This window comes from Homo sapiens, chromosome 18 (assembly GCF_000001405.40).
Source record: "Homo sapiens chromosome 18, GRCh38.p14 Primary Assembly".
Classification (NCBI taxonomy): Eukaryota; Metazoa; Chordata; class Mammalia; order Primates; family Hominidae; genus Homo; species Homo sapiens.
In genome coordinates, this window is record NC_000018.10 from 62,788,887 (window position 1) to 62,805,503 (window position 16,617).

The following is a 16,617-nucleotide window of genomic DNA, read 5'->3' on the forward strand; positions in this document are numbered from 1 at the left end:
GAACCAGTTCTACCAGGCCCTTTCATCTTGTTGTTAGCAAATAAGAGGTGTGTTTAAAAAAAAATAATAAAACAGAAAACCCAGCTTAACGTGCAATGGAAGTGGCTTGCCTCCATTCCCATCGCTGAGTTCTTAATGTTGTGGCAGGGAAGCCCATAAAGCTAAATTAAACAAAGCCACATCAAGGCTTTGTGTCAAGGCAATAAACCAGGCAGGGAGAACCACACTGATGTCAGATGAGCACACAGGGGGTGGGGAAGCAAGATGAGCTGAAAATATTTCAGGAGTCTGAACTATGCCGGGTGATTTCTTTCCTTAAGCATTAGTGAATATATGTAAGATTTTGTTGTTTTCCACAGAAACAAACAATGGCAGAGAGCATTTTCATATAAGTAGGTGACATTTTTGTCTTAAAAGAATCGTTGCTTGAAAAAAATCTCAGATGGCTATATGTGTGTTTATGTGTGTATGTGTTGTGTGTAGCTGTATTGATCAAATGACAGATTTAGTTGTTAAAAACAATGCCTTTGTTTTTGAAGAGTCACATGGACAAATAACGTTTCAGATTTTGTAAAACATCTGAATTGTTCCCAGAATTTTCTGGGCTTTTTTAAAAATATTGTTTGCAGAGGTGAAATACCTTGTTCTCTGCCTCAATGGTGTAGGTGCAGTAGGGGGTGGGGACTGACTCCCTCCATTCTTCATCAGTGTCTTCTCACACAGCACAAACCTTCTGCACCCTGATGCCTAGTCTCCAGGTACCATACTTTTTATCTTCAAGTTCCTGCTCTGTCTGGCTTTTGTTTCTTTATGCTGCAAATCCCTGATGCTGTTTGGAATGCACCTTTTTAGTTCTATAGGGCTGGGAAGTTCTGAGTGATGAAGGCAAGTAGTTCAAGGCCGCACCCGAGACCAATTTAATATATACATATATATGCATATTCATCTACATGAGTATAAGGAAAGTAAACATATAAACCTTTGATGCTTTTCACAGTAACACATTTTCTTTGGCTTTTTCTTTAATGAGCTTGATAGGTCATTTATCGCAGTTGAAGTCCTGTGTGTCTAAGTATACTTATTTTCCAGCTAATTTTTAAAGATAAATTGTGTGTGAGGCTAGTGATTTCATGGGCTATTATGATGGAACAACAGCTAGGAATAACAGGAAATAAATACAGATTGCATAAAAGAGAGTCAATGCTTTCCATGAATTTTTTACAAATTTGGAAAGGTAAGACTATAAATAAGAAGGCTAAATAAATAGGCACACCTCACCTATTTAGTGTTTGGTTGTCAGTCAGCGATCACTTGCAAGCACAACCTTGGGCCAGGAGGCTAGCGAAAAAAGACCTCTAAGCAGCCCAAACAGACACTACAGAATTTCAATAAAACACGTGGGAGGAGGTATCAAAAGTAGCATTCATAAAGTAGGAGCCAGCAGTCTGGGACCTCAGTAGTATCCATGGATGTTTTATGAATATCATTTATTATACTCTAATATAACCCCATAATGATGATGACCTAAGGCCATCAAGAAAAGGTACTTGCTATTTATTTGATTTTTGACCAGGCAGGACAAGTTATGACATATTCAAAAGTATTGAAGTAAAACATATTGCCAAAAGAATAAATTCTTGGGCATCTATAAAGCTCAGTAATCTAGAATACCACATGACTCCCAAGTTTAGGAAAGCCAATATATTAATATTATTGTTAGCAGCTATCAGGATTTAAAATGTTTTATAAAAAGTCACAGCATTTAAGTGGAACAAATGAAGGTACCCACCATGATTCCTGGTGGTGGCATGCATGCTGGTGGTGGTATGTGGTAGGAAGAAACTGTGGATAGAAAGATTAGTTATGTGGCTCTTGCCGTTAGTTGAGTGGGAGTTAAGGTCATGAATCTGAGTCTGGGGACTGAGAGGAAGGGATGGATACAAGAGATGCTATGATGATTCTTGAGGATGAAGTGGTTAACTGGATATACATGGCAAAGAGGGAGGGAGTATTTAAAAGTGACCCCAGGTTTTGCAGCTCATGAGTCTGGGAGAATGTTGTTTACTACTGCAGAAATGGGACAGGCAGCTGATTTTGCAGGGAGGAAGACTGGCTTTGTTTTCGGTGTGCTGAGTTGAGGAGCTGGCGACAGACCTGGCCGGAGCTTGGACTTAAAGGCCTGGAGCACTAAGAGGCTCTTTCCGACAGTTCCCAAGACAAGCAAAGACAGGCATGCTTTCATTATTGTCCTAGCAAGCGCTTAATAATTAGTGGTTGATTTGTAGTTTTTAAAAAATTTTGTGGGATGATTGGATTTTCTTGAAAACAAGCTGTTCAGATACGTAGTTTCTACTTACAAACAAAAAGTCAGTAATGAGACTTGCTCATCTGCTTGGAGGGTGGGAGCAGAAGCAGAGGCAGGCATGCTAGCCTGACAGCACTGTGTAGCCACATGTTTCCTCCTGAAATGTTATGTAAAATTTCCATTCTACTCCATAATGCTTATTTCAATATAATTTTAAAAATATAAAAGTATTAAGAATTGCCATCAACCCCAAATGAAAGTTTCCTCCTATGTTTCTCTTGTGGTTTTGCTTGGCTTTTCTTGCTTCTGCAGAGGGATGCTTTGCTTCTGACTTTATTCAAGCTACAAAGGGAGATCCAATTTCCTGCCAGCAATATGACAGCTCTTTTGCTGCATCATTGAATGTTCTTGCTGTTTTTTATGATCTTTAAACAAGTACTCTAAATTTATTAGCTGAGCATCATGAAATGCGTTAGGAAAGCAAGATAGTACAGCTTCATGTCATTGACATTTTTTTGAGGCTGGATTTACAACAGTAGGGAACTTATGATATGACTTTAGACTTTTGTCTTCATAGGAAATAGTGTTCTTTATTAAAATGACTAATTAATCATTGCAGATACTGACTGTCATTGGAAGGTTAAGAGTCTACACAGTTAACAGGTGGACTTGAAGGAAAGCAACCTTAGGTAAATTGGATTCGTACCCATTTTTTTCTTTCATAACTATAATTATTACCCTGCTAATTAATGAGTACACTTTTTTTTTTTTCCTGGAGACATTTTCTCTCTTTCTGAATAAAGAAATAATGAAAACAACTATTTTTCTAGTTTAGATTCCTATAACCAAGCAGATTTTGTTATTATAAATGTAAGCATATGTTTTTCTAATCAGAGTGACTAAATCAAACTCCTCTTTTTATGCTGCAAACTATCATTTTCAGTGACTGCTATGGAAATAGGAAAGTCAAGTCCATGTAGCATATGATACTGACCGAGCTTTACTTATGGACTTGGAGAGTGTCCCATCTTTCAAACAGCTGGAACTTAAAGGCAGCTTAGAAAAGAAATATTTTCTCAGTCATGACCTATTGAATTGTTAGTGCCAGAGTAAAACTGTAATTTGCTGTCTCATTTGTGTTCTATGGGCACTGGTGTGAAACAGTAGATTTTATTCTGATGTCCTTTTAGTATGAATGATTTTTTTATAATTTTTTTGATGGCTTCACTTTCTTCTGGTGGGAAAAACTCTGATTTTGTTACTCTTTTCTGACTAAATTCCACTTTTGCTCTCTTCTAACCTACTCCTTGCCTTCTAATCAGTGTATTCTGATGACTTCTTTGTTTCTCTAAATGTTACAAAGGAACACCCATTGATAAACTTTAAAAATGTTTCTAAGCCAGATGTGGTGGCTCACGCCTGTAATCCCAGCACTTTAGGAGTCTGAGACGTGAGGATTGCTTGAGCCCAGGAGTTTGTGACCAGTCTGGGCAACATAGGGAGACCCCATCTTTACAAAAAATTTATTAGCCAGGTATGGTGGTGTGCACCTAGGTTGCAGCTACTTGGGAGGCCAAGGTGGGAAGATTGCTTGAGCACAGGAGGTCAAGGCTGCAGTGAACCATGGTTGTTGTGCCACTGCACTCCAGCCTTGGTGAGAGAGCGAGCCTCTGTCTCAAAAAAAAAAAAAAAAAAAAAAAAGGTCACGCACAGTGGCGCATGGCTGTAATCCCAGCACTTTGGGAGGCTGAGGTGGGTGGATCACCTGAGGTTGGGAGTTCGAGACCAGCCTGGCCAACATGGTGTAACCCTGTCTCTACTAAAAATACAAAAATTAGCTGGGCATGGTGGTGCATGCCTGTAGTCCCAGCAACTTGGGAGGCTGAGGTGGGAGAATCACTTGAACCCAGGAGGCAGAGGTTGCAGTGAGCTGAGATCATACCACTGCACTCCAGCCTGGGCAACAGAGCGAGACTCCGTCTCAGAAAAGAAAACAAAAAACAAAACCTGTATAAAGCTTATCGAGTGAATGTAGATTGCAGGGGGGTGCTTGTCATGATCAACAAGTCACCTAGATATTTGCATAGAAAATCCATTCTGGAAAATTGAATAATGGTTCTGGTTCTTTCCAAGTCTAATGAATCAATCTTCAAAGCTAGGTTTTACCACCTGCTGCTGTTTCGCCTTCATATCATCTTGCCTGCCTGTTTGAACCATTTCATTCTAACTGCCAGATTTACCTGTTGATGGAACTTGATCTACTTATAGTTTAGCGCTGGCCATTCCTGACACTGGTCCTTGTCCAGACAGTCAGCCTGCTCCTTAGCTCTTCCATAGTAACAACCATAACCTGGATTTATTGAACATAGAACTTAATATACATTATAACATTAATTTAGTTAACAGTTATTGAGTGCTTGCTATGTATTAGGCACTATACCAAATACTACACATAAATGATTTAAGTGCTAGTTTTATCTGTTTCTACGGAGGAATAAACTGATGATTGAATTTGTAACTTGCCCAAATTCACACACTAGGGAGAGGTGGAGCCAGGACTCAAACACAGGCCTGTCTGACTCTAGAGTCTATTCTCTTAACTCCTGTGCCATGATGGTAATTCCCTGCTCTACCTCCTGTGGTTTGGACTAGTTGAATGTTTCTCAAACTGGGGTCTGTCAGCCTGCCAGTTGGGTCTTAATTTCCTTTATGTTCAATCCTATATCAAACTGAAATTATACAAGTTTGGTTTCCCAATATTGATGAATCTCCTTTGTTGTTGCTATCCACATATATAGTGACCTTTGCCATAACTAACTTGCTTTCCTGAAAGACAAGTTTTGTTAAAGAAATTAAACCAGCATTTTTTAATATTGGGAGGTTATGTGGCTCTCATGGAAGATTATGATAAACCTTCTTTTAAAACTTAAGGTGAAATGTCATATATATTTTGTATACATATGCATACATATATACCTGCACACTTATATATCTATCCCCCCCGAAAAAAGTGATAGATTTGAAGTGCTTGTTTTGTTTTGTTGTTTTTTTTCTTTCCAGAAGCAGCTCTAAGTCCCTCTCTAGAACATTTTATAAATTAGTATATTAGTCTGCGATTTTGGATATGGGAATGACTTTTCATTCCACAAGTGTATTTTTTGTTGAGAGTTTAATTATTACTTTTTTTTTTTTTTAAGGCAGATTCTCACTCTGTCAACCATGCTGAGTGCAGTAGCACAGTCATAGCTCACTGCAACCTTGAATTCCCTGACTCTAGTGATCCTCTTAACCTCAACCTTCTAAGTAGATGGGACTACAGCTGCACATCACCATGCCCAGCTAAGTTTTGATTTTTTTTCTTTTTTTAGAGATAGGATCTTGCTGTGTTGTCAAGGTTGATTTTCAACTCCTGGACTCAAGGGATCCTCCTGCCTTGGCTTCCCAAAGTGATGGGATTACAGGCATGAGCTATGGTGACTTGCTTAATTATTACTGTTTTAATCTACAATTAACAATTTAAAGAACTAGCTTTTTTTTACACAAATGACTCAGTTTGTATTTGTAGATTTATTGTTGACCAGCAAAAGATGAAGCACACACAGGAACTGGCCCTTGTTATGTAAATGCTCCAAGTGGACTCTGTAGTGTGGTGTTTTCAGTGCTGGGGAAGATTTGTTTCTAATGAGCATCAATACTTTTACTAACCTAACCACATTAAGGATTAAGTAGATGGAGTAGGGAACAAACTCTTAAGGGCAATAGAATAAGGAAAAAAGTGGGCTGACACTGTGTATCCCCCAGCCTCTTTATTATCCATCAGTTTCAGCTTATTTTGAAATCTGCTTTGATACTGCTTGAAAACAAGGGTTGGCAAATGTTTTCTGTAAAGGACTAGGTAATAAATATAATATTTTAGGCTGTGCAGTTCTCGTAGGTCTTTGTTGCATATTCTTAATTGGTTTTTTACAACCCTCTAAATTTTTTACTTTAAAAATGTAAAAACTGGCCGGGCGCGATGGCTCACACTTGTAATCCCAGCACTTTGGGAGGCTGAGGTGGGCGGATTCCCTGAGCTCAGGAGTTCACAACGAGCCTTGGCAACACGGTGAAACCTCATCTCTACTAAAATACAAAAAATTAGCTGGGAGTGGTGGCGTGCGCCTGTAGTCCCAGCTACTCGGGAGGCTGAGGCAGGAGAATTGCTTGAACCCGGGAGGTGGAGGTTGCAGTGAGCCGAGCCGAGCCAAGCTGAGATCACACCACTGCACTCCAGCCTGGGCGACAGAGTGAGACTCCATCTCAAAAAAAAAAAAAAAAAAAAACAACAACAAAAATTGTAAAAACCATTCTTAACTCACTGGTCACTCAGAAACAAACCATAAGCTGGACTTGGTCACTGGATGGTAGTTGACCTCTTCTCTACAGGAATCTTTACAGGAATCTTTTCAGTTGAGCCCATGAACACCTGAATTAGAAATGAAAACTTATCTTCTATCCCATGCTGCAGAAAGCATAGACATCCCTTAGCGCCTCCAATATCCTGTTGCCCCTCACTACTCTCAGACTTTTAATATGACCCCTAGCCCTTCCCACTCAATTTCACCTTCTAATCTAAAATCTTATTGATCAATTGCCTGGATTATTGCATAGTTACGTGCTGTGCAAGTTTCTTGCTAGTTTGCTGCTTCGAGTCTCTTGTCTAAACTGTCCTGTACACAGCTATTAAAGTAATGTTCTGGAGATACAGTTTTACTATGTCATCCTTCTACTCAGGGTATGTTAATGGCTTCCTAATTTCTTGCCATGTGACATTGACACTTGTCATTCTTTGAAAGGTTATGGAGCTTCCCATACTCTGACCACTTTACTTGTTAGTTTCCTGTGTGAGTCCACGGTTTACAAAGCAGGTATAGCTTGTGATTAATTCCTTGACAAATCTGAAATTTGTTAGTGATAATGGATTTTGTTGAAGTACCTTGTTAAAAGTAAATTCCAAGTTTGTAAAACTCAGAATTTTCAGAGCTGTAATAATAATAGTAAATATGAAGTATCATTGTGCTTTACAGTTATATTGGCCTATTTAATCCTCACAACAGGAAGGTGTTATTGTTTTTACCATTTTACAGGGAGGAAACTAAGACAGAGAGGTCAGTAGAGAGAGTAAGAGGCAGAGGTCAAACCTAAGCTGTCTGGCTTTGGAATCCATGTTTTGGAACTACTGTGCTGCATTGCTTCCATGATGAATTAGTAGTTAAAAGAAAGACTTTGAACCTAGTAGAGGAGAGGAAGGAATTGTTCAAACATAACTTTAACCTTCATTCCTTTCCCTGCCAAGGTCCCAGGTCTTTTTGTATTTTGTTATTTTTGCCAGATAGTTTATGAACTTGGCCGAACTTTACAGATGGAAGTATTTGAATATTTGAAATAGGGAAGAGTTGAAGGTTATTAGAATAGAAAAAGTTCAGTTCTTTTCTTGGTGCATAGTCAGGTAGGTGCCTTTAGATAGAATGTGCCAGGGACCCTGTCCATAAACAAAGACAAGAGAAAGCATTTGAGCATGATTATTCTTTCTGGAAAATTTGTTAAAAACATGAACAAAGTGCTGTTTTGGTCAGCCATCTGCTGGAAGAGAGAATAAACTTGTTATGAATTTACAGTTGTTTCAGAAAACTGTTGATTAGTGTTTTGTTTATAGATTGCATATTGTCATCTGGATTGCTAATTTTTTGGGAAGAGAAATTCTATTTTCTATTTCTTTGGCAATTCAAGCCCAGATTGCCATTTCTTAGAATTCTGTAGATAGGCAGAAGATATATAAATATTGCCCAAGTGAGATACAGATATCTGATTTTATTGAACAATAATCAACATTGATCTTATTTCATATAAATCTTATTTCATATAAATCCTCAAGGTATTTAAAGGTAAAGCTGATAAATCAAGTGCATACCTTCCGACCTGTTTGGGTAGGAATAGATTATTCTTCTGTAACCAAAACTTTTTTTATTCCTTTTCCGAAAGATGTTCACATCTTAAACATTTTTTACCATAATATATCGTAAATATTGCCCAGCTGTTAATTCCACAACTTTTGTTTGAGGCCACTGTGTGTCAGGTATTGAATGACTTCTCTGCCCCAGGCACTGTTGTAGGTGCCCAAGATATATCCATGTGTCCCCATGGACAATGCTCTGTGTCCCCATAAAGCTTATATCCTAGTGGGCAGAAGAAATAACCAATAAGCATAACACATCAGTTTTATAACACACTATATGGTAGGTGCTGTGGAAAAAAGAGAAGTAGGGCAGGGTAAGGAGGTGCTAGGGAATCGGGGTTGCACTATTACAGATGGACGGTCAGGGCAGGCCTTGCTTTGACTTGAGCAGAGACTTGAAGGAAATGAGGAAATAAGCCAAGTGCTAATTATCTGGAAACCTTGTCATCTCTTATTTTCTTACCGTTCTTCAACTTGTTATGTGCAGACCTTGATTAATTTAAGTCCCTAATTATAACACATTTGTATACCTTTAAGTGTCTCAGTGTTCCCTACATTAAATGATATAATTTTTCATCTCTTGGTACAGTGAAATTATGAGGAATCTCAGGATAAGCATTGCCGGGGAGAGAGGTTGATTATGGCTCAGTAGAATGTAATTCCTAAAACCTGAGGACACTATAAGACTGACCATGATTTAATGTTCTGTTTTATCCTGACTAATGGAAGGCATATAGGGCCATGTATGTTTAAATATTTCCTGTTACATAGTAACTCTCAGTACATGTCTTGGAAAGGAAAGAATTAAAATCTTAAATAAAATAGTTGATTCCTTTTTCCAAGCTACAGATTTTGTAAACTTGACTTCATTCCCTCCTTATAATAGTGCTTCTCAAACTTGAGCATGCATCAGAATCACCTAGAAGGCTCATAAAAGCCCAGGTGGCTGGTCCCCAACCCCAGAGTTTCTTATTAAATAGTTCGGAGTAAGGCCCACAAATTTGCTTTTCTAACAGGTTCTCAGGTGATCCTGATGCTGCTGGACCCAAAACTAACACCTCACCACGTGCCTCAGAAATTGGTATTATGTTTTATAAATTATTCAGAAAGAAATTAAATTGCTTTGCTTGGGATCCAGGTGTGCATGATTCCACTCATCCTTTTTGTCCTATCTTGCATCTTTCTTAAATTTTTCTTTGAAAATGACCAAAATACACAATCCTTTACTTCTTGGTACTCCCTAGTCTACACTGATATATCTTATGAAGCAAAATTTAAACTCTGAGATAGTTTACGGGAGTTGACTCACAGAAGTGCCCTACTTTTGTTAAAGTAGAACATATTAAATTACTAAGAAAAGAAAGACCCTTTTAAAAGTCTTCAGAAACATTTTAGAGTTATGTTGTTGAAGTATTTGCATTATGAGCGTTTATAGGCCTGCTTTGACAACTCTAGCAAAACTCCTATGCAAAAATGAACCTTTCCCTCTTGTTTTTTATTGCTCATTTGCTTCCTAGAGTTTGCCTCACCTTCTCTTCTTTGAACTCTGTGGCTGAGCTGTCTGGGTGGTCACTGTGTCTGATTGATTCACAGATCAAGGCAACCCCTGTAAGAGCCAGAAAGGTCCCCAGTGAAATCCAGTGGTAATAAAACAGATGTTCCTGGATCTTCTTGTGTGTCCACTAGATACCTGTGAAAAGAATGGGCATGTTTAAAAACAAAACAAAACAAAACAAAACAAAAAACAAAACTCAGAAAATTGGCAAATTTTAGTTTTAGCAATTAGACTTAAGCTCCCTTCCAAAGCTACAATGTTTTAGTACAATTATTAAGTAGCAAAATTGACTTATTTGAATTTCCCATCCTTCCTCTGGCTTTGAAATATTCTCTACTGAATGGAGTTCACAGACAATGAGTGAGATTTTAAGGAAAGAAAGGGAAGCTGCAGTGATCTTGGATAATCACTCATAAAGAGGAAGAAAAGAACCAGAGGAGTGGTAAATAGGCTATTGTATAAAATGGACAATGAAAGGATACTAAAAATAACATTTTGTTTCATGTACTTTATGTCATTTGGTTTATATCAGTGAGCTTTCACTTACTAATGGGGGCCACTGTTGGTAGCAAGACTCTGAGGATGTACAGTCTGTTGGCTGGGACATCTCTTGAGGTGGTTACAAAGGCCACTGAGAGGCTGTGATATTCCCTGTTCAGAAGCATTATCCATTCTTTTTAACCTGTCATCACAAGACAGACATACTATTTAGAAAATTTTGAAGCTAGAAAGGACCGCAGAGTTCATCTCATAGAATCTATGCCTTACATTAGGAAACTGAGCTCAAAGGATGTGTTTAAGGTGCACAGCTAAAGAATGAGAGCATCTGGAATAGAAAGAATGATAGTTGCACAGTGTGCAGGTTCCCCGGATCTTCCTGCTGTATTTTCCCCCTTTCAGGCATCTCTCTCCATTCATCTATCATAAACCATTTATTTATGATACCCTTGTAGAATACAGTGTGTGTTCTACAGCAGAAGTGCAGTTCTTTGACCTTCCCTCACCTGTATTCATATTGAAAATATAGCTGAGGGTTTTTGTTTATTTGCTTGGGCCTTACTGCTTATAAACAGAACATATCTCTTAAATGTTCATTAAAACATTTTTCCTCTTTTTAACAAGTATAATAGTCAAGATCTCAACAGGAAATAGCACACTTAAATCAGGAGAATTTTAGAAGGATGTGGACAGGGTATTGGGGAACTGCAAGGTTTAGTGTAGAAAATGCCTGAAATTATCAACTGCTGGAGATGTTATTAACCCACACCCCAAAGGGATGAGTGGAAGAAGAGATTTATAGAACCTAGCAGGAGATGCTAGACCCTTTAGCTAGAGCTGACTGCACCTTGAGAGAACTTCAGACCAGGGCACGGCCAGCTGGAGGCCACCTAATAGGGAGGGTGTCCGGAGAATAGATACCCTTGACCACACTCTCTTCTCTCCCCACCCCCCACTGGCTGAATCCAGTGGGAGGCAGAGTGCATAGAAGGCCCTTTACACACTTGTCACTTCTGGGGACAGAGAACAGGTGGGGAAGGTTTTGAACAACAGGGATATCCGAATGTTCTTCGTTTGCGTTATAAATTAACGCTTTAGAGTTTGTGTTGCATAAAATGTAATTTATTTGGGTCAACTGTATAGTTTTTGTGGTTTGATTATTTTTAGTAAGTTCAGTCTTCAGTTATGTTTTAAAGCTGGCTCTATAGTTAATATTAGGTATATAGTGGTGATCTCAACTTTTTTTCTGCTTCTAGATTAGTCATGGATAATGCATACAAACTCACCTATAACATCTTTCATTATATGCAGTTAAAATTCTCAAGGGGAAAGTGAGTGAGGGTGGCTGAAGAATGGGCTGTTTGTCTCGGGGGAGCATATGAAAAGAAGAGTCTCTGTTGTAAAAACCCTCTCAGTTTGATATTTACTTTGGTTCATGTTACTTGTTTTGTTGTTTAGCGAGTTTCTGCTTATGATCCTAATAATAACCTATTTAGAGTAGGGCTTTATTTTCTAGAGTGCCTTGAAGCTATTCGATGCTGAGCTGGCTTCTCCGGCTACCTGCATTCTTTGCATGACTTAATAGTGAGCTTTTGTAAACATGAACTCAATCTTTAGGGGTAAGAATCTCTTGTCACTGTTGGTGGAGGAGACATAGAGAGAAGTTCAGCTGAAATCCACTTTTACTTAACCAGAAATTCCCTTTGTTGGTATTTGTGCAAATTAAGTTGAGAGTTGAATTACAGCTAATTCCTTCCTTCCTTGCTTCCTTCCCTCCCTCCCTCCCTCCCTCCCTCCCTCCCTCCCTCCCTCCCTCCCTCCCTCCCTCCTTCCCTTTCTTGCCCTATCTCCCAGGCTGGAGTGCAGTGGCATGATCTTGGCTCACTGCAGCCTCCTTCTCCTGGGCCCCAGTGATTCTCCTGCCTCAGCCTCCCAAGTAGCAGGGATTAGAGGTGCCCACACCCTGCTAGTTTTTGTATTTTTAGTAGAGACGGGGTTTCACCATGTTGGCCAGGCTGGTCTCAAACTCCTGGCCTCAAGTAATCCGCTTGCCTTGGCCTCCCAAAGTGCTGGGATTACAGATGTGAGCCACCACTCCTGGCTGCTAATTTCTAATTAATTGTTCTGAGTAATTAATTTTTAATTGTGAATTTGCTGAGGTGACATGTTTTGCCTGGTAGGTTTGATGCTAAAGAGATGCATCAAGCAGAAATTGTTAGTTAGTATATGGAGCCTCCCTCTGTCCGTCCGTCGCCCAGGCTGGAGTGCAATGGCGTGATCTTGGCTTACTGCAACCTCTGCCTCCCGGATTCAAGTGATTCTCCTGCCTCAGCCTCTTGAGTAGCTGAGACTACAGGCATGCACCACCATGCCCGGCTAATTTTTGTATTTTTACTAGAGATGGGTTTCCCCATGTTGGCCAGACTGGTCTCAAACTCCTGACGTCAAGTGGTCCGCCTGCCTCTGCCTCCCAAAGTGCTGGGATTATAGGCGTGAACCACTGTGCCTGGCCTCTGTTTGTTTTTATGTCCATGGTTTCTCATATTTCTTTCCAAGTCATAGGCATTTACCTTCTGTCTCTTCAGCATTTTAACACATTTTCTTACCTATGTCTTGTTTTTCTCATATTTCATATTTAACTTTTATGTCATTCACATTTGCATACACAGAGCATCACTCCTAGTCTCTAGGAACACATTGGCTTTGTGTTGTTTTGACTTATGTCTAGTACCATTAATATTTTTACTTTTTCTATTTTTTTTAACCGTTTTTTCCTTGTTGCCTTTCTTTTCTCTCACTCCCCTGACTACTTTCTTGGCCAGAATGTGTGTATGTGAGCACCCAGAGGCAAAGAAGGGCTAGAAGAATGAGCAGAGGGGGTTATGAGGATACGAGCTACCCCTTTTTCCAGTTGTTGATGGAAGAGAGGCCAAAGAAAAGAAGAAAGGTTGGCTCACCAGTGGGTCAGAGGAAGGACTGAGTGGCCCAAAGAAAGGGAGGAGCATGGAGTCTGCAGGAACTGCAGAGCTGAGCCTGAACAGCAAGAAAACAGTGGAGCAACCCAGGAAGGAAGTGATAAGGTTCCCAAGTCTTTTTGGAGGGGTACATGTGGGGAAGAGGGCAGATTCGATTCCAGGGAAGGAAAAGAGCAAAGTGGAGCCTGAGCATGTGGGGATTAACACACCCTCCCAAGCAGAATAATTTTGATGATTGAAACTGTTCTAAGCATCACAGTTACAGTATTTATGGCTCCAGAACATCATAGTGCTAACTAAAGTAGGGATAGCAGGACATGGACTTCAAAATGCAGCTGGATCAAAGTAACTTTATTTCTGATTTCCTAATTTGGGCTAAGTATCATAGGTACTTAACAAGCACTTAATAAATATTGATTGAATTGAAAGTAATATGTTTCTTCTGTAAAACACATATGTACATGTTTTCATCCATTTTTCTACTGTGTGAAAACACCGAGAATGTATAAATGGATGAGTTACTGCCCTCTGTTGGAGCGTGGAACTTACTTGGGCAAATGACAACTTGTGAAGTTGTCTTGAGGAGTATTAACAAGGTAGAAACGTACTAATTATGCCTTTTGTAGGGGAGAAGTCCAGTCCTGTAGATTCCAAATAAAAAATTAGATTGGAGTTCAGAGAAGTTGTTTCAGGCAGGGCAAGTTGGTAAGGAACGGCATGTTGGAACCAGGGAGAAGCTCAGTGAGGGTTGAATAAAGGTAAGTGGCAGAAGATAAATTTTGAGAGTAGGGTGGAGAATGGAGAAAGCATACTGCCTAATGCTTTAATCATTTTATGTTTTAATTTTATGCCTTAAAAGTCTTAAATATAAAATCAGATTTAGAAATAATCTCAAATGTTTTGTTCTGGAAGACTATGCTCTCTGGATATGTTAAGGGTTCATATTGGTGTTAACAGTTTGTATGCTAGAAATTTTAATTTAAACATTTGTCTGTTTATCATTAGTTTTTCTAAATCACATAGTTTTTAAGAAAAATCAGATCTTTTATTAGAATATAACATACATTCAGAAAGGTATGCAAGTCTTCATCACCAAGTGGTTACTACTGAGCTCAAAATACTGTCAGCATCCCAAGTCCCCCGCTTTTCCCCCTCCTAGTTATTACCTACCCACTCCAAAATAACTGCTGTCCTAATTTCTAACACTCTAGCTTAGTTCTGCTCATTTTGAGCTTTATATAAATAGTAGCTTATCATATGTACTCTTTTGTGTTTAACTTAAGATTGTGAGATTCAGCCATCATTTTGCATGTAGGAGGTCATTGCTATGTAGTTTTACATTGTATAATTATACCACAGTTAATACTACTACTGTTTTTGGACAGCTGTGTTTCCAGGTTTTCTTTTTCCTACCTAATTACAAATAATGCCGCCATGAACATTCTTGTGCATCTTCTAGTGCAATTTACATGTATTTTTTTGCTTTGGTAAATCTGTAGGAATGGAGTGGATAAGTTATAGGGTATTTATGTTTTAACTTTAGTAGATTCTGCAAACAATTGTAAAGAGATTATACCAGTTTATATTTCCACAGCAATATATGAGAGTTCTTATTGCTTCACATCCTTGTCAACGTTTGCTATTGTTGGTCTTAAGCTCAACCGTTGTGGTTGGTGTATAGTTTGGGCTCATTGTGATTTTAATTCGCATTTCCCTGAAACTAAGATTTTTATTGGTTCTATAGATATTGGGGGTGGGTGGGTGTGTGTATTAGTCCGTTTTCACACTGCTATAAAGAACTGCCTGAGACTGGGAAATATATAAAGGGAAAGATGTGTAATTGACTCACAGTTCCAAATGGCTGGAAGGACCTCAGGAAACTTAACAGTTAATGGCGGAAGTTGAAGGAGAGGCAAGTACCTTCTTCACCAGGGGGCAGGAAAGAGAGAGAAGTGAACAGGGAAGAGCCCCTTATGAAACCATCAGATCTCATGAGAACTCACTCACCATCATGAGAACAGCATGGGAGAAACTGCCCCCATGATCCAATCACTTCCCATCAGGTCCCTCCCCTGACACGTAAGGGTTACGATTTATGATGAGATTTGGGTGGGGAAACAGAGTCAAACCATATCGGGGGTGTATGTGTAGGGGGAAGGTGTCTAGTTTTTTTATTCATTTTTTATTGGGTTGCCCTTTTTCAAAAACTAATTTGGGCCTGGCACAGTGGGTCACACCTGTAATCCCAGCACCTTGGGCTGGGAGGCCAAGGTGGGAGGATCACTTGAACCTAGGAGTTAAAGGTTGCAGTGAGCTATGATCATGCCACTGCACTTCAGCCTAGGCAACAGAGTGAGAAAAAGAAAATAAAAGAAAAAGTAATTGTTAGAGGCTTTTTAAATGTATTCTGGATATGAACGCTTTGCTAGTTATATATGTTACAGTTATCTTTTTTTTCTAGTCTGTGGCTTGCCTGCCCCCATCCCCCCATCCCCCTCTTTTTTTTAAGAACACGGTCTCGCTCTGTGGCCCAGGCTGGTATAATATACAGTGTGTGTGTGTATATATGTAAACACACATATACATACACACAGTATAATATACACTGTATATATTATACATATACAGTATAATATACACTATATATTATACATATACAGTATAATATACACTGCATATATTATACATATACAGTATAATATACACTGCATAGGTTATACATATACAGTATAATATACACTGCATAGGTTATACATATACAGTATAATATACACTGCATAGGTTATACATATACAGTATAATATACACTGCATAGGTTATACATATACAGTATAATATACACTGCATAGGTTATACATATACAGTATAATATGCACTGCATAGGTTATACATATACAGTATAATATGCACTGCATAGGTTATACATATACAGTATAATATACACTGCATAGGTTATACATATACAGTATAATATACACTGCATAGGTTATACATATACAGTATAATATACACTGCATAGGTTATACATATACAGTGTAATATACACTGCATAGGTTATACATATACAGTATAATATACACTGCATAGGTTATACATATACAGTGTAATATACACTGCATAGGTTATACATATACAGTATAATATACACTGCATAGGTTATACATATACAGTATAATATACACTGTATATATTATACAGTGGTATAATCATAGAGGTCACTGCAACCTTGAACTCCTGGGCTCAAGAGATCTTCCCACCTCAGCTTCCTGAGTAACTAGGACTACAAGCA

The 16,617-nt window shown here is 38.8% G+C and overlaps 1 protein-coding gene across 1 annotated transcript in view; it reads left to right on the forward strand.

Annotated features, from left to right (window-relative positions):
- PHLPP1 (PH domain and leucine rich repeat protein phosphatase 1) overlaps positions 1-16,617 on the forward strand; it is a 264,893-nt gene that overhangs the window by 73,346 nt on the left and 174,930 nt on the right. The window lies entirely within an intron of this gene.